This window comes from Homo sapiens, chromosome 5 (genome assembly GCF_000001405.40).
Source record: "Homo sapiens chromosome 5, GRCh38.p14 Primary Assembly".
Classification (NCBI taxonomy): Eukaryota; Metazoa; Chordata; class Mammalia; order Primates; family Hominidae; genus Homo; species Homo sapiens.
In genome coordinates, this window is record NC_000005.10 from 180,965,393 (window position 1) to 180,988,770 (window position 23,378).

The window sequence follows — 23,378 nt, forward strand, 5'->3', positions numbered from 1 at the left end:
TGAAAGCAAAAATACAGATGGAATAGCATTAAACTAAAATGCTTCTCACAGTGAAGTAAACAGTTAACAAAGTGAAGAGACAACTGTAGAGTAAGAGTAATATTTTCAAAGCATATATCTGATGAGGATAATATCCAAAATTTATAAGGAACGTAAAAACTCAATAGTTAGAAAAATAACACAGTTGTAAAACGGGCAAAGAACCTGAGGAGACGTTTCTCAAAAAACATATAAATGACCAATAGTTTCATTTAAAAACATTCAACATCACTAATCATCAGGGAAATAAAAATTAAAAACACAAGAAGATATTACCTCATAGCTAATAGAATGGCTATCATCAAAAAGACAAAAACTAACAAGTGTTGACAAAACTATGAATCCTGTACATTAATGGTGGGAATGTAAATTAGTATAGCCATTATCTAAACCCGTATGGAAGTTCCTCAAAGACTAAAAATAGAAATACCATTATTATCTAGCAATCCCCCTACTGGGTAAATATCAAAAGATTGAAATCAATGTGCTAAAGAGGTATATGCTGTCCCATGTTCACTGCAGAATTATTAACAAGAACTAAGATATGGAGTCAACCTATGCATCCATCAGTGGATGAATGGAGGAAGAAAATGTGGTATATATACACAATGGAATACTGTTCAATTTTTTTCAAATACAAAGTTATATTCATTTTCAGTAAATAGCAAAACAAAGTAGAGTCAGGTTGGGCGTGGTGGCTCACGCCTGTAATCCCAGCACTTTGGGAGGCCGAGGGGGGTGGATTACCTGAGGTCAGGAGGTCAAGACCAGCCTGGCCAACACGGTGAAACCCTGTCTGTACTAAAAAGACAAAAATTACCTGGGCGTGGTGGTATGCACCTGTAATCCCAGGTACTTGGGAAGCTGAGGCAGGAGGATCACTTGAAACTGGGAGGCGGAGGTTGCAGTGAGTCGAGATCGTGCCACTGCACTCCAGCCTGGGCGACAAAAGCAAAACTCCGTCTCAAAACCGAAAAAAAACCAAAAAACCAAAAACCAAAAAAACGAAGTGGAGTCAATGCACTAATTTTTAAATCTAACACAATGCTTAGAACAAACTATGCTCAATAAATAAAAACATTATTATTAATGGAGTACGATTATTCTTGAGATTCTCTATGGTTGTGTGTGTGTTTTAAACAAAACTGAGTCGTAGGTAAAGAAAGACATCCTACAGACACGACTGAGAAGGGCTCAAAGAAAAGAACAGCCAAGGAGTAGTGTCCCCAAATACTAAGCAAAATGAATATGGGATTTTTCAAAGCAGTCTAGAAATCAGAGCTCACTAGGTTTGGAGATAATCCATGTTCAAGGCCTCATAATGAAATCTTTCCGTATTTCCAGATTCTTGATATGGAATCTGTCACAATTTTAAGGAGCTTCTGCCAAAGGAAAGGAGATCGCTTATGCTGCCTGAAATGGCCTACGCCTCCTAAATTTCCTTTGACTCTGTCACTAATATAGCAAGGGTTCATTCCAGCAAAGGATTACTACTGAGGACCAACTCCTCTCTGGTTTAGATTTTGCTTTCATAAACACATTGACCCTTGCCAAGGAGAGCTCTATGTATATCCAATTTCTTTTCTTTTTATCCCTGCTACACAACTCTGGCTACAAAATCTAGGACTCTCACAGCAATGGCAGCATTGGTCAGAAGGTAAGTGCCAGTTCGAACGCAAGAACTCTCTAAAGTTCAATGGTCACAATTTTTTTTTAACCACTTCTGCCACGACTTTTTTTTCTCTTTACCTTGCCAATTATTTCTTTTAAAACTCAATCCTCCAAGCTACATTCTGAGCACTAAGTTTTTTGACCAATGCATCTCTGGTATCCTCATCATCTTTTTGCAGATCTATGTCACCTTGTTGGGACCAAATGGGGTATCTATCAGCTCTCTGACCAGCCGCTAAGAAGGAGGAAGTAGCCTCCAACTCACCATTATTTTTTAAGAAGGCCTGTGTAACTGTTGGTAGATCCAAGTTAAATTTTTCCATTAACTGCCGAATGATCTTAATGGCAAGCTCCCACCCCTGGTGGAGAAAGTCCCCCTCCTCCTCTGTCTCTCTCCCTCCTCCTCTATCTCTCTCCCTCCTCCTCTGTCTCTCCCCCTCCTCTTCTGTCTCTCCCCCTCCTCCTCTTCCCCATTCTCACCCTCCTGCTGTCCTTCTGTCTTCCTCAGGCATGGGTGGATTATCATCACACATTGTTATATGTATTTCAAAATCAGGGCTCTTGATCCACTTGTAGGAATTGCCTTTCCAGGAGTCCTGGACGGTTCTCGCAGTTCAGTTTTCCATCTTTCTGCGAGATGCTAACAAAACCATGCCTCTGATCCAATGCCTCCATTTAGCTGTAACAATACGTTAATCAGAACTGCCTGGCATCCTCCTGAACAAGACTTTCAATAGGGCCCAGTATGTTTCGCTTCATCCTGAAGTTTTCTCAAGCATCTGCTAAGATGCTTAAGTACTCTTTTGCAGTGGGACTAGGAGCCAGCAGAGGAACAGATACACGTTCTCTCAAGACGTCTCTCCAGCAGAACTTTTCCCCTTTGTTTCCGAGGCCTTGGATTTTCCCAACATTTCCAGTGTATATGAACAAGACACAATGCTATCATACATCCCCCTGCAACTTTAAAAAGCAGGAGTAAGCAGTACTTCCAGCCAGGCCACCAAGCACCATCATGTACCTGCCTGACAGCCCAAAGCCAGCATTATAGGTAACTCTGGCAGGACTAATCCCCTTCATTGGTCCACCACTGGTCCTGCTAATGACAAAGACTTATATTCCCCTATTAGCCTTTACTCAGATGGAGCCAGTTTCCTATCCTTGTGGTGGTCAGATGGGGTTTTGCTGTATCAGAAGGCAGTCCAGCCAAACCCGACTTCCTTCATTTAGCTAATAGTACAGTTCCTGTTGTTTTCACGGTTTGCCTTATTTCTGAAAGACTCAGCGAAGCCATAGCAATCATAGGTAACGGGGATAGCATTACACATCTGTTTCTTTTGCCACATTATCCCAACTGGTTCAAAGCCCTGAGGAAAGTAGTCACTTTATTGGCCACTTTTTCATTTATAATCACTTTAGTGTTAAAAATATTTACCCACAGAATGGACCTAAGCGACCTGGTCAAGTAGAAAAGGCATAGAACTACACTGTAGATAACACTGGTACACTGGCTACACCTTTTTCTACTTCTCCTGTTTGCCTCTCCCCTCCCCCACACCAATGGTAATTTATTCTTCACACATTATTCTTCATTTCCAGAAACTGTTACTTCATAGTAATTACTTAAGCAGGAGCACGAAAATCCCTGACAAGTCATTTTCATCTTGTGTCCAGAATTGGTGGGTTCTTGGTCTCCCTGACTTCACGAATGAAGCCACAGACCCTCACGGTGTTACAGTTCTTAAAGATGGTGTGTCTGGAGTTTGTTCCTTCTGATATTCGGACGTGTTTGGAGTTTCTTCCTTCTGGTGGGTTCGTGGTCTCTCTGGCTTCAGGAGTGAAGCTGCAGACCTTAGAGATGAGTATCACAGCTCACAAAGGCACTGCAGACCCAAACAGTGGGCAGCAGCATAATTTACTGCAAAGAGCTAAAGAACAAAGCTTGCCCAGGGCAGAAGGTGACCCAAACTGGTTGCCGGTGCTGGCTCTGGCAGCCGCTTTTATTCCCTTATCTGACCCCACCCACATCCTGCTGATTGGTCCATTTTACAGAGAGCTGATTGGTCCATTTTGACAGGGTGCTGACTGGTGCATTTACAATCCCTGAGCTAGACACAAAGTGCTGATTGGTGCATTTACAATCCTCCAGCTAGACATAAAAGTTCTCCAAGTCCCCACCAGATTAGCTAGATAGAATGCTGATTGGTGCATCTGCAAATCCCTAGCTAGACACAGAGTGCTGACTGGTGCATATACACTTCTCCCTCTAGACATAAAAGTTCTCCAAGTCCTCACCCGACCCAGGAGCCCAGCTGGCTTACCCAGTGGATCCCCTGCAGGGGCCACAAGTGGAGCTGCCCGCCAGTTCTGCGCAGCACGCCTGCACTCCTCAGCCCTTGGGCACTTGATGGGACCGGACGCTGCAGTCGTGGAGGGTCGGGCCCGCAGGAGCCCACCGTGCAGGTTGGGGGGGCGGGACTCAGGCATGGCGGGCTGCCGGTCCCGAGCCCTGCCCCGCCAGAGGCGGCTGAGGCCTGGCAAGAAATCGAGCAGGGCGTGGGTGGGCTGGCAGTGCTGGGGGACCCCACGCACCCTCCACAGCTGCTGGCCTGGGTCCTGCGAGCGCCACCACAGTCCCGGTTCCCACCCATGCTTCTCCCTCCACAGCTCCCCACAAGCAGAGGGATCCGGCTCCAGCCTCGGCCAGCCCAGACAGGGGCTCCCACAGTGCAGCGGCGGGTTGAAGGGCTCCTCAAGGTGGCCAGAATGGAAGCCCAGGAAGCACTGAGAGCGAGCACGGGTCACCAGCACGTTGTCACCTCTCAGTCTCATACTAAATTTGTTTTCACTGAGTCATGTTATGAATTATATAGTCACCCGCTTAAACATTTCAATGCTTTAACTGTCTTGAAAAATATAAAATAAAAAAATTAAAAAAAAAAAATCAGGGCTCTCATCCAACTCCCTGGTGGCTTCCGCAGGCATGTTTTTTGATGGCTGCTTCATGCTTCTGGGTTTCTTCCTTCACATGTTCTTCAGGCAAAGCTGGAATTCTCTTATTCCATGGTTCCCGGCAATCCTCAGGCTCCGGGTCCTGCTCTGCCTTCTGCTTGAGCGTCTGGGAGCGCAGCGGGGGCTCCTGGGGCATTCCCTGCTCCTGGCCCCATAGGTTCTGAGGGGCCTTTCTTCCGCGAGCCGGCTTTCCTCCATCGCTTCCCACAGGCTTTGCCCGCGACCGAACAGGGCGAGCAGGCATTTTCCTTCACGTAGGCCTGAAAAGCCACGTCACCCGCATCCCTGAAGGCGGCCCCACCAGCGACTACGGCTTGGGCTCCACGGCGCGCTCTGCCAGGGACCCCCCCCCCCCACCGCCGGTGCCCGAGTGGGCCGCGTAGGCGGGGCCCAGCCCATAGGCCGCCAGCTCCAGCCGCTGCAGCGTTCTACGCGGTCCGGGACGCACTGCGCAGACAACAAAGCTGCTGGAGGCGTCCCCAGGCTGGGCCAGCGGTGTGGCCTGGGTTCCTGCACCGAGTGGTGCAGCAGCTGCTTGGCTGGGCTGGGCAGCAGGTATAAGGACCTAGAGTTGCCGTCCTCCCTGGTGAACAGAATCGAGGAATGGTTGGGCCCGTTGGGGTCTTTGCCCAGATCCACCGCCTCCACCATGTTTGACGCCGGGCACCAGAGGAGCCGCCCCCTCCCGAGCGCCATGGCACGCACAGAGCGACTGACTGAGCCACTACTGATTTTTAAAAAGAAAATATTCCTCTTATTTGTGACAACATGGATGAATCTGGAGAACATCATGCTAAACGAATAAGCCAGGCACAGAAAGACAAATACTGCATGCTCTTAATTATATGTGGAATGCAAAAAAGCTTAACTCAGAAGCAGAGTAGAATGGTGACTACCAGAGGCTGGGGGCAGGGGAGGCAATAGGGAGATGTTTGCCAAGGAGTACAAAACTTTTGTTAGATAAGAGGGATATGTTACCATGCAAACGGTAATCAAAAGAAAATAGGAGTGGCTATACATATATCAGACAAAGTAAACTTTAAGTCAAAAGTTGTCCCTAGAGACAAAGAAGGTTATTACGTAATGATAAAAGGGTGTATTAAACAGGAAGATAGAATAATTGTAAACGTATATGCAACCAACTTTACAGCACCTAAAGTTAACATTGAGAGAGAAGAAAGGAGAAATTGACAGCAGTAGAACAATAATAGGAAACTTTAACACTCCACTTTCAGTATTAAATTGAATATCCAGGCAGAAAATCAAGAAATAGTGAACTTGAACAACACCGTTAGCCAAATGGACTTAACAGACATGTACAGAACTTTTCACCCAACAGCAGAAGAATACACATTCTTTTTAAGCTTACAAGGAACATTCTCCAAAATACATCACATGTGAAGCCACAAGACAAGTTTTAACAAATTTAAGGAGATCAAAATTGTATGAAGTATCTTTTCTGACCACAATGAAGTGGAACTAGAAATCAATAACGAAGAAAGGTGGACAATTCACAAATACATGGAAACTAACATAATCTTAAAAACTACTGGATCAAAAAGAGAATTTTAAATACATCTTGAACTGAATAAAACTGAAAAAACATACTAAAAGTTATGGGATGCAATAAAAGCAGTAGTATGAAGAAAGTTTGTAGTGATAAATGCCTAAATTTAAGAAGTGGAAAGATATCAAATAAACAACCTAACTGTACACATCAAGGAACTAGAAAAAGAAGAAGCAGCTAAGCCAAAGCTGGCAAAAGGAAGAAAATAATAGGGATTAGAATAGAAAAAAGTCAAACGGAAAGTAGAAAAACTATAGAAAAATACCAAAAATAAAAATTGCCTTTTAGAGAAGAATAAAATTGGCAAACTCTTAGCTATACTAAGAAAAAAAGTAAAGAAACAAAAGCAGAATTAAAGAGGAGACATTACAACAGATCCCTCGAAATAAAAAGGATCATAAGAGACTATTATGAACAATTATATGCCAACAAATTGGATAACATAGAGGAAATGGGTAAATTCCTAGAAACATACAACCTACTAAGGCTGAACCAAGAATAAATGGAAAGCCGGAACATACCAATTACAAAGATATTAAAGTAGTAATAAAATGCCTCCCAGCAAAGAAAAATCCAAGACCAATTGGCTTCACAACTGAATTCTACCAAACATTCAAAGAAGAAATAACACCAATCCTTCTTAAACTTTTCCAAAAAATAAAAATAGAGGAAACACTTCTAACCGCTTTATGAGTCCAGCAGTACTCTAATACCAAAACCAAACACACCACAAGTAAAAAAAACTACAGACCAATATCTCTGATTAACATACATGCAAAACATCTTTGATAAATTGCTAGCAAACCAAATTCAACAACACATCAAAAAGTTTATACACCATGACCAAGTGAGATTTATCATTGGGATACAAGGTTGGTTTAGTACATGCAAAACAATCAATATGATAAACCACATTAAGAGAATGAAAGATTAAAACCACATAATCATCTCTATAGATGCAATAAGCACATTTGATGAAGTTTAATATCCTTTCATGGTTAAAAAATCCAAGGAAAATAGATATAGAAGATGCTGTGGTATGAATGTTTGTGTCTCTAAAGTTCATATGTTGAAACCTAAACCCCAAAGCAATAGTATTAAGAGGTGTGGGCTTTAGGAGATGATTAAGTCAGGAGGGTTTCTCCCTCAAAAATGGGATTAGTGCCTTTATAAAAGAGGCCTAAAAGAGTTGTTCATCCTTCTACCATGTAAAAATAAGAAGATGCCATCTTGAAACAGAGAACAAGCTCTCACCAGACACTGAATCAGCTAATGCCTTGATCTTGGACTTATCGGCCTCCAGAACTGTGAGCAATAAATTTTTCGTGTTTATAATTTCTTATTTTAAGAGATTTTGCTATTGCAGCCCAAACAGATAAAGATGGCAGGAAATTTCCTCAACATAATAAAGGCCATTTATGACAAGTCCACAAAGAATATCATTATCAATGAGGGAAACTGAAGCTTCTGCTAAGGTCTGGTAAAAGAAAAGGATGTTCCTTCTTGCCACTTCTATTTAACACAGTACTGAAAGTACTAGCAAGAGTAATCAGACAAGAAAAAGAAAGAGAAGCCATACGAATCAGAAAGGAAGAAGTAAAAGTGTCTCTGTTTGCATATAATATGATCCTTTACTTAGAAAACTGTAAATATTCCACCAAAAAAACTTATTAGCAATAATAAATAAATTCAGTAAAGTTACAAGACGTGAAATCAACATAAAAATCAGCTGGTTCTATACACTAACAAAGAAATATCTACAAAGGAAGTCAAGAAAACAATACCATTTACAAAAGCTACAAAACGATAGGAATAAATCTAACAAGGGAAATAAAAGATCTGAACCACCTTTCCAAAGAAAAATTTTTTTTTAGAGATGGGGTCTTGCTATGTTTCCCAGACTGGTCTCAAACTCCTGTCCTCTAGTGGCCTCCCAAATTGTTGGGATTACAGGTGTGAATCACCATGCCTGGTTCAGGTAAAAGATCTGTATACTGAAAACTATAAAACATTGATGAAAGAAATTAAAGAGAACATTAATAAACAGAAAGAAGACCCCATCTCTACAAAAACAAAAAAAATCCTAAAATATTAGTCAGGCATTGCGGCACATGCCTGTAGTTCCAGCTAATGGGGAGGCTGAGGAGGGAGGATCACTTGAGCCCAGGAATTTGAGGGTTCCGTGAGCTATGATCACACCACTGCACTCCAGCGTGGGTGACAGAGTGAGACCTTCTCTCAATAAATAAGTAAATAAATAAATAAATAGAAAGATATCCTGTGTTTTGGTTTGGAAGAATTAATACTGCTAAAATTTCTATATATCCTAAATGATCGATAGGTTTAACACTACATAGAAATTTTAATGGCATTTTCCACAGAAACAAAAAATACTAAAATTTGTATAAACCCACAAAAAGTTTTAAATATCAAAATAATATTGAGACAGAAAAATAAGGTTGGAGCATCATACTTCCTGACTTCAAAATGTATTGCAAAGCTACAGAAATCAAACAGAATGCTCCTGGCATAAAAGCCAACACATAGACCAATGGAACAAAATAAGAAACTCATAAATAAACCCAAGCACATATGGCCAATTAATTGTCAACAAGTTCACCAGGAAGACAAAATGGGAAATTGATAGTCTCTTCAATAACTGATGTGGGTAAAACCGGACATCTGCCCGCAAAAGAAATCTGACCCCTATCTTACACCACACACAAAAACAAACTCAAAATGGACTAAAAGCTTAAAAAATAATACCTCAAAACATTTAAATTCTAAAAAAAATACAGGAAAACTTCTTGACATTAGTCTGAAAAGGATTTTTTAAAAAATAATTCACCAAAAGCACAAGCAATAAAAGCCAAAATAAGTAAGGGGCATTACATCAAACTAAAAAGCTTCTGCGTGCCAAAGGAAACAATCAACAAAATGAATAGGCAGCCAATCAATTGGGAGAAAATATTTGCAAGCTATATATCTTATAAGACTTTAGTACTCAAGATACATAAGGAACTAACACTCAACTCAATAGCAATGAAACAAATAATCCAGTTTTTAAAACGGGCAAAGGTCCTGAATAGACACATCTAAAAAGAAGACATACAAATGACTAACAGGAATATAAAAATGTCCAACATCATTAATCATCAGGGAAATGACAATCGAAACCATGAGATACCATCTCACAACTGTTAGGATAGCCATTATCAAAGAGACAAGATATAACAGGTGTTGGTGAGGGTGTATAGTAAAGAAAACCCATTGACACTGTTGGAAATGTAGATTGTTGCAGTCATATTGGAAAACAATGTGGAGTTTCCTCTAGAAATTTTAAAAAATAGAACTAATATATGACCCAGTAATCCCTCTTCTGGCTATATACTCAAAGGAAGTGAAATCACCACCTTGTAAACATATATGTGCTTCCATGTTCATTGAAGCATGGTTTACAATAGCCAAGATATGGAAACAAACAAATTGTGGTGGGGAGTGTCATCAAGATGGCAAAACTGGAGATACTAGCCTTTATCCACCCCCAAAGAAAATAAATAGCTATCCACAAATGAAAATATCTCTAAGAGGGCTCAAAGGCACATTAAAGAATGTGAGGCAACACAGTGGAGCAAAAACAATAACAACAACAAAATACAATAAAAAAGGAGGCTATCCACAGAAAAGAACACTGGTGAGACTGGCATATCTGAGACTCCAGGAGATGGCTAGGGTCAAAGAAGAAAGGTGAAAGCTACTGATATCAGCCGCATGGCAGGAACCACCATGGTCCCCAGGGGCCTTCTTCAAACAAGACACTGGCATGTTTTGTCACTGAGTTAAGAAACAGATATTTCTGTTGGGGGAACCCCATAGAGGAAGGCACAGCTTCACAACCCTCCCTTACCCAAGAAGCTGCTGCTGTTGAGCCACTTTGGGAAATCACCTGCCTCCTCTCTCAACCTCATGCATGCCATAACCCCCAAGCCTCAGCTGCTCCATGGATGCCCACGCTTCAGAGACTGGAGCCATCACCATACCAAGCTGGTGTACACTCCAGGCCCTGGAGCCAAGGTCTCTCTAAGTGTTCCCTGAATCCAGGCACAAGCTGAGCCGTCATAGAGAGGCAGGCCCTGACCTGATCCTGAAACACTGTAACTCTGAACACACCTGTGGCAGGAACTGGGGAGATGTATATTAAAGGATACGAAGTCTCAGTGATACAGACGCATGCATCCAGAGATCTGAAGTACAACATGAGGGCTATAGTCAATGATATTGTAGTGTATACTGCAAATTTTCTAAGAGGATAGATTTTAGGGGCTCTTAACCACATGCACACAAAATGATAGATGTTAATTTGCTTGACTGTAGTAATCATTTCTCTATGAACATGTATCAAAACATTATCTTGTGTACCTTAAATACACATAATAAAAAAGATAAGGCGAATGTGAAAACTCAGCGGAGACCTTCTATGAGTGCCCCTCCACCTTCCTTGTGTTTCCTCCTGACTCTCTCTTGCATGGAACTTCTATTGCATGCAGAGAATTCATTTTGCTGTTTTCAAATATATGCTATTGTGCTATTCTTTAAGACTACTACCCATAATAACACTGAGCTTTAAAAATCATTCCCTACTTATAGCTTTTTAGCCTATAAGCTTAGCTTACTAGTGTAAGAAAGAAAGAGAAAAGAAACACCAAAAGTGGCTTAACAATTAAAGACAGGTTTATTTTGGAGAATAAACTTGAGAGGGGCTTCTGGCCAAGTTAGGTTAGAGGCATTTTTTCTTACACACTAAGAGTTTTTAAGGGTTTGATGTGGGACAGCTTATTATAGGCTTGGAATGTTTCTTGTGTTTCTTTGTCTCGCTTATCTGGGAGGGAGAGTTTGTGTGCATTTCCATCCATTTTCCTGAAGCTGCAGGTATACCCCGAGTCTACTTTTAGCTTCCCTATCTTAGTGCACGTAAAGGGAAAGGAATGTGCTTACTAGGGCCCACTGTTTCACTGGGGCCCATTGTATGAGGGTGAAGTTTGGCTGTTACCCAAGAGACTTTCCCCCCTCCCTCTGTGCCCAAGGTGTCTTATCTGTGTTTTACTGTCTGCTCCTTCCGGCTGCTTGTAGTTAGAAGAGAAGTGACTTCCTTGAAATGCAGGAGGCTAGAAAAGGGGCTGGAAATTAAAGTGGCGATGTTTGACTGACATGACGGTGCTCCTGCCCTGTCATTCTAGACCCTATAGTTATAAAAGGATGAGGGGCAATATTTTTGTTTGTTTGTTTGTTTTGCTACTTCCTGCTGGGGGGGGGGTGGCAGACAGATTTCTGGTTTTGGATTGGCTGAAGGAGCAATGCCATTTGTAGATGTTTTGGGTAGTTGTTTGTGAAATAGCCATGATTCTATTGGTTAAGAATTTTTGAAAAAGCTGAATTAGGTAGGGTAAAAACATGAGTCCTGGGCTTTTTAGCAGCATTTTTTATTAGGCCTGATTGGTTGAGATAGAAGCAACTTTTTTTTTTTTCCAATGAGAGGTAGAGGCACATGTTTGGAAAGGCCTATGTGTTATTTTTTGTTAGTAACTGTTATTCCTACTATGAGGATCATAATTAAGCAAAATGCTACAGTAATTGAGATTCTCTGTCCGATATTTTACCCTGAGGGTGCTACCGTATATAGTTTTCCTGCAAATAGTAAAGTGAGTAAAGCAATTCCTGCAAGGGTGGCATAGTAAATAATTTCCATTAAAAACGTTTTAATATTTGGCTTAAAACGAGAAGTAGAAATGACAAAAAGTATTTGGTGAGATAGAGGTGAGACTGAGTAAGATGAGTAATTTTTACTTACGAACTTATTTTTTGTGCTTTTAGCTTAAGATTATTTATGTTTTGTACATTGATATTTGGGACATTTCTCTGGGCTGTTAGGAGTTGCTTCCTCAGATTTTTAAGCTTTGACTTGAGTGTGATGTATTTAGGAGTTGATTTCTGTAATGGATATAAGTTAAACTGTAGCAAATAGTAAAAACTGAAAAATATTAGGCAAGACTAGAATTTAACAACAGGTGTGCTATAGTGTTTGAAACATAATTTTCTCTGTTCCGTTTTCCATGTTTATTAAAAGACAAGTCATGGTAGGACTGATTTGCTTTATTATACTTGGCTTAATTATTTGCATACAATTCAGCAAGAATAACTATTTGCTACATAGGCCTTTTAAATTGGCTTTGATGGCACTTTGTTTCATAGAAGGAATTTGAGATAAGACTTTTTGAAGCCAAGCCCAGCCATGGATTTGTACTATTAAACACCTATGAGTTGGCAGAATTCCTTTCCTCTTCAGGTTTTAAGATAACTTGGGGTTCCTGGCCTGCGAGAAACTGACATTCTTTACTTACCACAGGTCAGAAACCCTGTACAGGGGCTGTGTACACAGAATCTGAGGCCAGTGTCCAAGGGCTATATTGGCTCCATAAGTCAAGTTTGATTCCTTAAAGGAGAGCACACCATTCCAGTCAAAGCCTTGGCAAAATAACCAGTTTCTCCAATTGTGTTCTGTTACAAAAGAAAACAGGTTCTTTTTTTTTTTTTTTTTTTTTTTTTGAGACACAGTTTTGCTCTTGTTGCCCAGGCTGGAGTGCAATGGCGCAATCTCGGCTCACTGCAATCTCCGCCTCCCAGGTTCAAGCAATTCTCCTGCCTCAGCCTCCCCAGTAGCTGGGATTACAGGCATGTGCCACCATGCCCAGCAAAGTTTGTATTTTGTATTTTTACTAGAGACAGGGTTTCTCCATGTTGGTCAGGCTGGTCTCAAACTCCCGACCTCAGGTGATCCACCCGCCTCAGCCTCCCAAAGTGCTGGGACTACAGGCGTGAGCCACCTCACCCGGCCAGAAAACAGATTTTTTTTTTTTTCAGATGGAGTCTTGCTCTGCCACCCAGGCTGGAGTGCAGTGTTGCGATCTCAGCTTACTGCAAGCTTCGCCTCCCAGGTTCACACCATTCTCCTGCCTCAGCCTCCTGAGTAGCTGGGACTACAGGCGCCTGACACCACACCTAGCTAATTTTTTGTATTTTTAGTAGAGATGGGGTTTCACCGTGTTAGCCAGGACGGTCTCGATCTCCTGACCTCGTGATCCGCCCGCCTTGGCCTCCCAAAGTCCTGGGATTAGAGGCGTGAGCCACCGTGACCGGCCCAGAAAACAGTTTCTTATCGCACTTATGCAAACAACTATATTGGTGTAATTTAAGAATACTTATAACTAGTTTTTAAATTCTAGAGGACCTAGGCAGAGAGAAACACGCTTTAAATCCTATTTACAGGAATATACTTTACTTAGCTGTGAAAGTCTGTCACTAGCTTAAGACAAGTTTTCTTGACTCTGAAAAAATAAAATAAGGATTAGCAGTGTTTTAAGCAAAAGGTAAAAACTTGTTTTGGTTTTCTATTAGTTTAGTCCATTTTCTTAAATTTTGCTTGATATTTATAAACATTTTAGCTTTCCATGAATTTTGTACATTTTTTGTTGTTGTTGTGAGAAACTCATGTTTGAGAGCACTTGTTAAAGTCCCGCAGCTTGATTATAAACCATCTTTTGAAAAGAATTAAAACGAAACAACAATTGTGTGCAAATGACAAAATGTCCAGTTTGGATACAGTTAGAAACACAATTAACAAAGAAATTTAGTCATTTTTGTGGTTTACAATAACCCAACATAACAACCTTAATTGTGATTGATAGCACATATTCAGACACTAACATTAGACATTTCATACAGTTTTGGAACATATGTTAATATTATTCCCTAAAATATAACTTATTAGGCAGTGTTTTGGCAATTTTATGTACCTAAACATGTTAAATAATCCTGTTTACCTTTGTTCCAGATGCTTTAGGGGCCCTTTGCAGGACCTAAAATTTAGGGGTTAGGAAAGACAATTTTGAGACTAAAGTTTGGTTTTGGAAGCCTGTTAAATATGTTTAAAATTTAAACCATTTGATATTATGAAATGGAATTTTAGATTATTATTTTTGTTCATTTGTGTGTTTGTTTTGTTTCGTTTTGCCAAAATGATGAGTTAAAAATTTGGAAAAGCAAAAACCATTTATTAGCCTTTTTTATTACATGAAAATTCTGTTTAAGAGAGAAAGTTACATTTTACCCTTTCATTAGTTTATTAATGTTAACCCTAATTTTAATGAAACCTTATAGACAATTCTATTTAATCTTAACCAGTTTGACTATGAAGTGAGATTTTTACATACCTGTTATAATCCTTGACACATTTTGCTAAAGAGTAGATTAGCATTTTAAGAAAACCTTGTGGTGCTTTTATTTTAGTGTTTAATTTACAGAAAAAAAAGTTATACCCTTTTGAGTTTAGTTAATATACTTACACACAGAGTTTTCTTTGCAGAATTAATTTTTATAATGTTTTTACAATTTGCTTAATCCATTAATTTAATTTTAAGATAACTTATTTTTAAGCAAAATGTACATTTTTGTACCTTCTTTTAATTTTTGACTGAAACACTTTTTACTGTTTTTATGCACCTTGCATGTAAATTCATGTTTAGTAGTTTTCACTACATGTCATAATGGTAACTTTTAGCAATTTTTAACTTTAATGTAAAACCTGTTAAGTTTTTTAAATTATGTGCCAGATGCAGATGAAGTCTGACTTTTTCCAGCATAGTTAGGGGCATGGTTACTTTGATATGTTTCTGGCCTTATCAATTGTGAAGCAGGTAAGTTGACAGTTTTTAAAGGATAAAGAAGCAGTTTACAACCTTAAAACAGCAAACCTAGTATCTGACCTGCCTAACATATGCCGCATTTTTACACCTTGAAGACATTGGTATTTTACCAATAATTCCTAAGACTGTTTTTATTTTTAAATATTAAAGTTACGTGAACTGAAAGGTATCACAACTTTTACTTTTCCCTTAAAAATATTTGATTTAAGCACTTATTTTTCTTAGGCAATTAATTAGCCCTCTTTTTAATAGACATGGCACACATAACACGTGCATAGCCACACAGACAACCAGAAGAAGAACCAGTCGTTGTAAGATTTTTCATTTTTTGCTAATTTCCCTGTTGGATTATTGGCCTTCAGGTGAGGCCCTTTAAGAACAGTGCTAGGAATACCGTTTCCAGGGCCTAATAAACAAGCAGAGCCAGAAGACAAAGACAGACTTTGAGAGGTACTTATTCACCTCTACTTCCAGGGGTTCCATGAGGAAAACAGAGATTTTTCCCAAAATGGGATTTGTGGTGCCTTTTCTGTTTTCCCAAGGAGTCCCAGGCCACCAGAAGTTATTTTGGGGTCTTTTACATATGCACCAAGAGTGGTAAGACAGAGTGGAGAGAAGTAATTTAGGTGACCGAGAAAAACACCTTTTCTAGGAAAACAAGATTTATGAAGAGAAAAACATAAAGGCCTTTTGAGTATACTTATAGCTTGGATATTTAATTTTAATTAAGCTGAGCGTTCTTTCTACTAGGGGTGAGGGTGGAGGTTAGAATTATAGAAATGTTATGCCAAGTTAAATTACGTGCAGGAATTCCCTGTGATAATGAGAGGGATTTTTTGGGAAACATCCCAGACACTGTTCGATTTGCAACAAATCAGACCCGGAGAAGGGGACGTGAACATGAGTGATTCCTTCAAGCCCAGCCACTGCTGGGAGAGGGAGGATGGCGGAGGAGGTTTCACTGGTTGGAGCAGGTTTTGAACCGGTGGAGAAGGAGGAGGGCGGGGCTTAAGGGAGAAGAAAGCCTGAATATAGGGAACCTTTTGCCAGTTACCGTCTCTGGTGATAAAGGCGTCAAGGTTCCTGAGAACCTGAAGGGTAAAGGTGCTGCTTTGGGCCGCTGGCTGTCATTATCTAGTTTGTACTGGGGCCAGGACGTTTGCAAGATAACATTAAACGCTTTGGCTTTAGACTCCCGACTAAGCCAAGTTTGACGAGGCTGTGAAGACGACAGTTCAGTGGGGAGGACGCAGGAATGTGGGGGTGCTGGGCACCCGCGAGGGCTGGTAAGAGGAAGCCAGGGGTGTCTGTCTGGTTCTGGGCCTTCCCAGACAAAAGCCAGAGACCCGGAGCCTCTTTCTGAGAAGGAACCGGGCGTCCCCAAGATTTCCTCTAGCCGAGTCCCCTGGGTCCCCCGAGGACCGGGACAGCTCTGGTACCCGGAGAAAGCCAGGAGAAGGCAGATTTTACACCTCAGCTGAATTAGTGTCCAGCATTGGGTGTTGCAGTTGGAATCGGCAAAGGGCCTCAGACTGGAGCTGCGGGAGGAAGAGAGGGAGACGAAGAGGGAGAGAAGAGGAGGGAAGAGAGCAATGGTCGGAGAGCAAAATACCAGTTGTGAGCGGTTGGAGGGGGAGTCCAAGACCTGAGGGTTTTGAGAGCCCACAGGGGAGGAGCCCCGGCCAGAGTCTCACAGTTCCCTTCAATGCGAATTGCTCGGAAAGTGAAGGGAGAGGCTGGGAGAGCCGGGCCCGGCGGCGGGCAGGCCTAAGGCGGCGCGGGACACCCACTAGTCGCACCTTTTCCCGGCTCTCGCCTCTGCAGAGGGAGCAACTATGGCTGCGGAAGTCCTGGAGGCAGCCTCCGCGGAGGAGCAGAAGGAAAAGGAAGATAAAGTGACTAGTCCAGAGAAAGCTGAAGAAGCAAAATTAAAAGCAAGGTATCCTCATCTGGGACAAAAGCCTGGAGGTTCAGATTTCTTAAGGAAACGATTGCAGAAAGGGCAAAAATATTTTGATTCTGGGCATTACAACAGGGCTAAAGCAAAAACGAAGAGCAAGCAACTTCCTACTGCAGCTCCAGATAAGACGGAGGTCACTGGTGACCACATTCCTACTCCACAGGACCTTCCTCAACGGAAACCATCCCTTGTTGCTAACAAGCTGGCTGGCTGATTAAAAGAGCTGAACTGCATGAAGCTGCTAATTCCCATTATTTCTCTTTAATATGTTACTTACCTTTTTATTTCCTTTCATTCACTAAGTCATTTGAGACCGACAGCTTTGCAGGTATCAGTAATGTGTGCTGCTATTGTGGAATATACAGGTGTAGAGTTTTTGATTAGTTTAACAGTGCACTGGGGAAGAGGACATGTCAGAGCAACACAAGTAAACTACTTGAAAATAACTGTATGTATTACCTAACTCCTAGTGTAGTACTGGTTCTAACAAGTAACAAGCAAGTTTTAAAATTTTAATGTTTTGACTTTCATTACTTCATCTTAATTACAGCTTTGTATGTTACTCTTATTTAATATAATCTCTATTGTATTGATTTCTTCTGTATAAACCTTTTGGATTTTGTAAAACAGAGGTTTAAGACCACAAGTTAGAAGAAAGGTCACCTATTTCAAACAACTAGATGGGGCTCCACAAGATTTGTATCTCTGTGCTTGAACTTGAATGGCCTTAAACCTGTTTCAGCTTTAACAGTAGAATTTTACTTGGGCAATATTTGCCCATTCTGGTGTAACTTATGTGACCCTAGTGCTTAACAGCTGCCGTCGAAGCTAATATTCTTATTCAGTTCTGTAGAGTCAGAATACCTTTTGTTGTTGAAGATGTGCAATGACTGTTGAATTCACTTTTGTGCCATTTTTGTAAATACAATAATTTTGCACAACCTCTCACAAATGCCTATATTTATTTCACATACTTAAAAAGTAGATAATGTGCCAAGCAGAAGCACAAGAGGTCCTACACAAAACTCTGTAAGTCATTATAGCTTTTGTATAATAAGAGTAGTTTACAATCTCGGGCTTATAGAATACCAAACTGAAATCTTAGTTCAATCTGTCATAGACTTAAGCTTTTCATTTGTTACTAATATCCATGGCATTCAGTGGCCTTGTGCAAATACGATATGTTGCTTAGGAATATCTTTTGTCCTATGCAGAACCTTTCATTTTGATTTTTATGAAAGTTGCAATTCATATAATTTATATAAACTTTTTAAATGTAGAAACTTTTTACTTCCACACTCAACTTTGGAGACACTAGAGTAAAAGGCTTCAATACTCTGCATTCTATGCCCCCTGCCACCTGCTTTTTCCCTTTTGTTCTTCGACTCAAATGGTATTGGGTTGTTTGTTCTATACGAAAGCATAGGTGTCTATATCCTTACTCTTTTAAATAACACAATAATGATGTTTTCCTTCTAATTTCTCAGTTGTTAATCTCTCTCTCTCTCTCTTTTTTTCTTGAGATAGGGTCTTTCTCTGTCACCTAAGCTCTAGGGCAGTAGTGCAATCATAGCTCACTGCAACCTTACTCCTAGGCTCAAGCTAACTATTCTTAATCCTTTATTATTACCAATATTCTACAATTGTTTAAATAAAAGGAACTTTATAATCAAACAGTACAGAATACTGGCTCAAGAACCTATGTCAAGATGAGCTGAATTTTGGTACATTATTTTAGGAATTATGACAAGCTAATAGAATTGGGCTTGTGACAATGAGAGTAATTCACATGACAGGTAAAACTTACTCATATTAAAAATGTTTAGATATTTGCTTCTATAGATGTCACTTTAATAAAATAACAATTTAGTTTTACTTGTGGCTTACCTAGTTAGCAAGAACTTTAACAGACTTTATTGGGACAAGCTTACTGCTCTTGTAGGAGCTCCTCTCACAAGTAGTTGTAATGCTGTACCATGATACTCAGGATCAGTAACTTCAGATGTTACTATCTTTCTCTTCATCTTTGACTTGCAGAGAGCCTCCTCTTTTTGGATCCAGGCATCTTTTCTGAATCCTGGTTCCATTAGTATACCTGCTCTCCTATGATCCCAAATCATAGTCAATGGTGCCTCCAACATAGCACCTTCAGTTAAAGGCTGCCTAGTGCTCTGAGGAAAGCTTACTGATTATCTTCCTGCTCTACTCACCCCGAAAGGCAGAAAAGCAACATAGTCACTCCTGTGCTCATTTGTAATTGTAAAGATCAGAGATATAGATATTTGTAATGAGAGCAAGTATATACTCATTATAGGATCAATTTAAGAAGTTTAAAATATCCCAAAGTAGAATTTCTATATCTAGTCTTCTGGGTTTTTTTCACGAATATTTGCAAGTGATTACGCTTAACTTCACACATGAAAGATTAATCTGAAAGGTCAGAGAGACCCTGTTATTCCTGACCACGATAGAACTGCTCCTGTGGTTTGGGACAAGTAACAAAACAACTGCTTGAGTTTTGTTTGTAAAATACACTATTAATATTTGACCTACCTCAAAACGTATTGAGGATCTGTGAAACACTAAGTGCCCAAAATAAAATATTGCTGATTGTCTTTTTATTAAAAGTAAATTTCCTCATTAAGCCAACCGGCCTTCTGTAAGTCACAGTGCTCAAGTCTCAGGGTTTGTCATTAGGAGAGGTCTGTCGTTAAGGATTTGTAGGTGTAATTGCCTAGCCTCCATTATTGGTGATTGCGATAGAGAGGTTTTACATTTTTCTGTTTTTCATCCTGCCCCAAAGCTCAGTTTATTGAAGACATTTGTAAGCTATTGGATCATCACTTGAATCAAGATTTTGACTAGTGAGCCCAATTGTCCCTTTCTTATTATTTCAAAGCTATAGTCTGAGAAATGGCTAATTTTAATAACTGTCCTATCATAAATTAATGTTGGAATAAACTGAAGTTGGAGATGAAGACTTCATGAAAACTAACTAAAGTCTGAAATAAATCACCTGTTTTATGTCCAATAGCTACTGCCTTTGATAGAACAGTTTTGAGGAACATTTCATTCTTGAAGGCAGCATCCGACATGGTTCTCAGCAAATTGGAATAGTAAGGATTGTTGGGTTGTTTCGATGAGTGGAAGCAGCGTTTGTAGCATAAAAGTTATTCAATAATCTTGTGCTGTTGACCTGAAAATGTGTCTTAACTATTCATCAAGGCAAGCCTGGTGAAGCCTTTACTTGTTACTACTTCAACAGTTGGAATTAGTTGCTCTTTTTACTTGATGAAGCAAAACTATACCTCTGAATATTTATGGATGCTTTTTACAAAATCAGGCTTGTGTTCTTAATCCGAATTAGTAAAGTTTTATGGAAGCTGAAATGTAATACAGTAGTCTCCCCTTATCTGCAAGAGATACAGTCCGAGACCCCTAGTAGATGCCTGAAACCTCAGATAGTACTAAACCCTGTATAGTCTATGTTTTTTCAATCTGACAACCAAGGCGGCTACTAAGCGACTAAGGGGCAGGTTGTATACAACCTGTGTGGATAAGCAGGACAAAGGGATGATTCACATCCCAGGCAGGACAGAGGAGGAGGATCATGAGATTTCATCACTACATGGCTTGTGATTTATTTTATTATTATTTTTTTTTTTTGAGAGGGAGTCTCGCTCTATCACCCAGCCTGGAGTAGTGGTGCGACCTTGGCTCACTGCAGCCTCTGCCTCCTGGGTTCAAGCAGTTCTTCTGCCTCAGCCTCCCAGGTAGCTGGGAATGCAGGCGCCCGCCAACATGCCCAGCTAATTTTTGTATTTTTAGTAGAGACAGGGTCTCACCATGTTGGCCAGGCTGGTCTCGAGCTCATGACCTTAGGTGATCCGCCCTCCTCGGCCTCCCAAGGTGCTGAGATTACAGGAATGAGCCACAGTGCACAACCAGCTTGTGATTTAAAACATGGTTTATTTCTGGAATTTTCCACATAATATGTTTGGACCAAGGTTGCCTCGGGTAACAAACTATGGAAAGTGAAATTGCAGATAAAGGGAGTTACTGCTGCTGTGCTCTAAAATTGGTGTTTGGGTGATCAGGAGTGGGTAGCCAATGGGAAGAGGTGATCAGGAGCAGGTAGCCAATGGGAAGAGGTGATCAGGAGCGGGTAGCCAATGGGAAGAGGTGATCAGGAGCGGGTAGCCAATGGGAAGAGCACTTCTGAGTGATCACCAAAGCAGTTTCTTTAGTGGTCTTTTCACATTCTCCAATGTTCAAGCATATTTTCCACTTTCCATTTTCTATTTCACCTCATTTTGCCTCATCATCTGCCATCCCTGCTTATTTCTTAAGCCTACTGATGGCACTCACTAAATTGTGTTTAGGGCTAATGAATCATTGTTCCTTAATATCCTTTTCAATATGCCACAATTTAGAATGCATTTAAAATTTTCTAAAACAATATCCTACTCTGAATATTAACTAATTTGAGCCACATTCCCATCTCTAACTCAGCACAAAGTGCCAGTCTTCCCCAATATCTCCTCTCAACTCCCCACCGCACCTTATAAAATTGGAATCAGAAATCTCACTCTGTCATTGCTCATCTTAGAATAAAAACACTGATTTTAATACTGTTTTACTAGTTTCAGCCTTCTAAGTACGTAGGCCTCTAGGTATTCTGCAGATCACTGGTGGTCTTGATAGCCATTCATATATGTTCGTATTATGTTATTTTTCAACTAAATCGCAATTGGAAAAAAACATCTTTAATATTATGCCCTTGGATCTGTTACTTCATTACTAATACTTGTGATGCAATAGGACACTTCACCTGTACTAAAAGGGCCAAGAGTAAATGTCTTGTTTTGTTGTTGTTGTTAAACATGTCTACAGAGTTGGCAGTTAATGCTGAATTTGTCAAATAGCTCTTCCAAAATTATACTTGTATTTAAAAAATAAATGGATCTACCTAATTTCTATTCATCTAATTTGCAGTTTTGTCTTATTAAAGTGGTATGTTTTTCAATGTATTTTTTTCTGAAGTTGATCTCTTTACATTTCAGCTATTACTGTAGGCAGAAAGAAATTGACTTGTAATCTTTGATTTTTTTGCATTTGTAATGGCTTTGTACTTAAGGTAGGATTACATGTTTACAGATTGTGGGGGAAAAAAAAAGAAAAGTGAAGGGAGAGAAAAGACAAGGCGAGTGGCCAGAGACCCTCAGGATCCAAGAGTTAACTCTGATTAACTCAGATGCTTTGTTCAGCCAATTTCAGACTTCTTTTTTCCTAATACAAGCACTTAAGGATAAGCCTTTCTGTAAGAACTGCCTTACATGCATCATAGTATTTTAAATGTAGTGTTTTCATTCTTCTTCTAGTCTAATTACCTTCAACTTCTATTATTAGTTCTCTTAGACCCATTAGTTATTTAAAATTGTGTTATTAACAATTTCTAAGTTCATGGGGTTTCCTCTTTTTAAATTGCTCTTTACCTTCGTTGTCCTTCGTGGTGCTCTCCGTGGAAACCTGCTTTCTGATCTAGTAAGTGCTTATTCTTTGTGCATGTCCCTAGACTTGAAATCACTGCATAATCCCTAACTGTGTGTGTCCTGGCTTAGTGCATCTAATGAATGACTGAATGAATGCATCTTTGCCTTTGCCTTACCCCCGGGCCTGAAACATCGTCTTGGTCCCCTTCTCAATACCTTGGATCCTTGGAGATCAAGGTCCTGGTTGTTCTGGCAAGTTCAACACAATCTGGCCTCATGATCAGAGTCCTGTCCCTGAACTCAAGACAAGGGAGGGATGGGCAGAATTACCTCATGCTGTGCCAGGAAATATGAGTCTCATGGGGCATGGCCTGTGTGCCTGGGCAAATTCACTGCCTCACTACCCTGTGCTGAGATGATCTCTTTTTTTTTTTTTTTTTTTTTTTTTTTCTGAGATAGAGCCTCACTCTGTCACCAGACTGGAGTGTAGTAGTGCAATCTGGGCTCACTGCAACCTCCCTCTTCCCGGTTCAAGCAATTCTCCTGCCTCAGCCGCCCAAGTAGGTGGGACTACAGGTGCGCACCACCATGCCTGGCTGATTTTTGTATTTTCAGTAGAGACGGGGTTTCATCATGTTGGCCAGGATGATCTCGATCTCTTGACCTCGTGATTCACCTGCCTTGGCTTCCCAAAGTGCTGGGATTACAGGCATGAGCCACTGCGCCCGTCCAATCTCTCTTTCAGGGACAGATGTTCACTCTCTCTTGCAGCTCTGCCTGCCAGACTAAGCCTGAAAATATCTCTGCATCTGGCATTCCTTTACCACCTATGTGGGGCACAACCCAGAACAAAGTCCCTCCAAGTGTACCCTACTCTCTTT

General features: G+C 40.5%; 3 pseudogenes, besides 1 other annotated feature; 2 read left to right on the forward strand and 1 right to left on the reverse strand.

The window, feature by feature from the left end:
* Window positions 1–1,597: 1,597 nt before the first annotated feature.
* Window positions 1,598–2,280, reverse strand: LOC100128762 (TERF2 interacting protein pseudogene; annotated as a pseudogene).
* Window positions 2,279–3,180, forward strand: TMEM69P2 (TMEM69 pseudogene 2; annotated as a pseudogene).
* Window positions 10,115–10,304: an enhancer, noted in NCBI's record as "active region_23774". NCBI's record gives its function as "activates an Ori minimal core promoter by ATAC-STARR-seq in GM12878 lymphoblastoid cells {active_cell/tissue: GM12878}" and the evidence as "EXISTENCE:reporter gene assay evidence [ECO:0000049][PMID:35858748]".
* On the forward strand, window positions 16,782–22,168 carry ARPP19P1 (ARPP19 pseudogene 1; annotated as a pseudogene).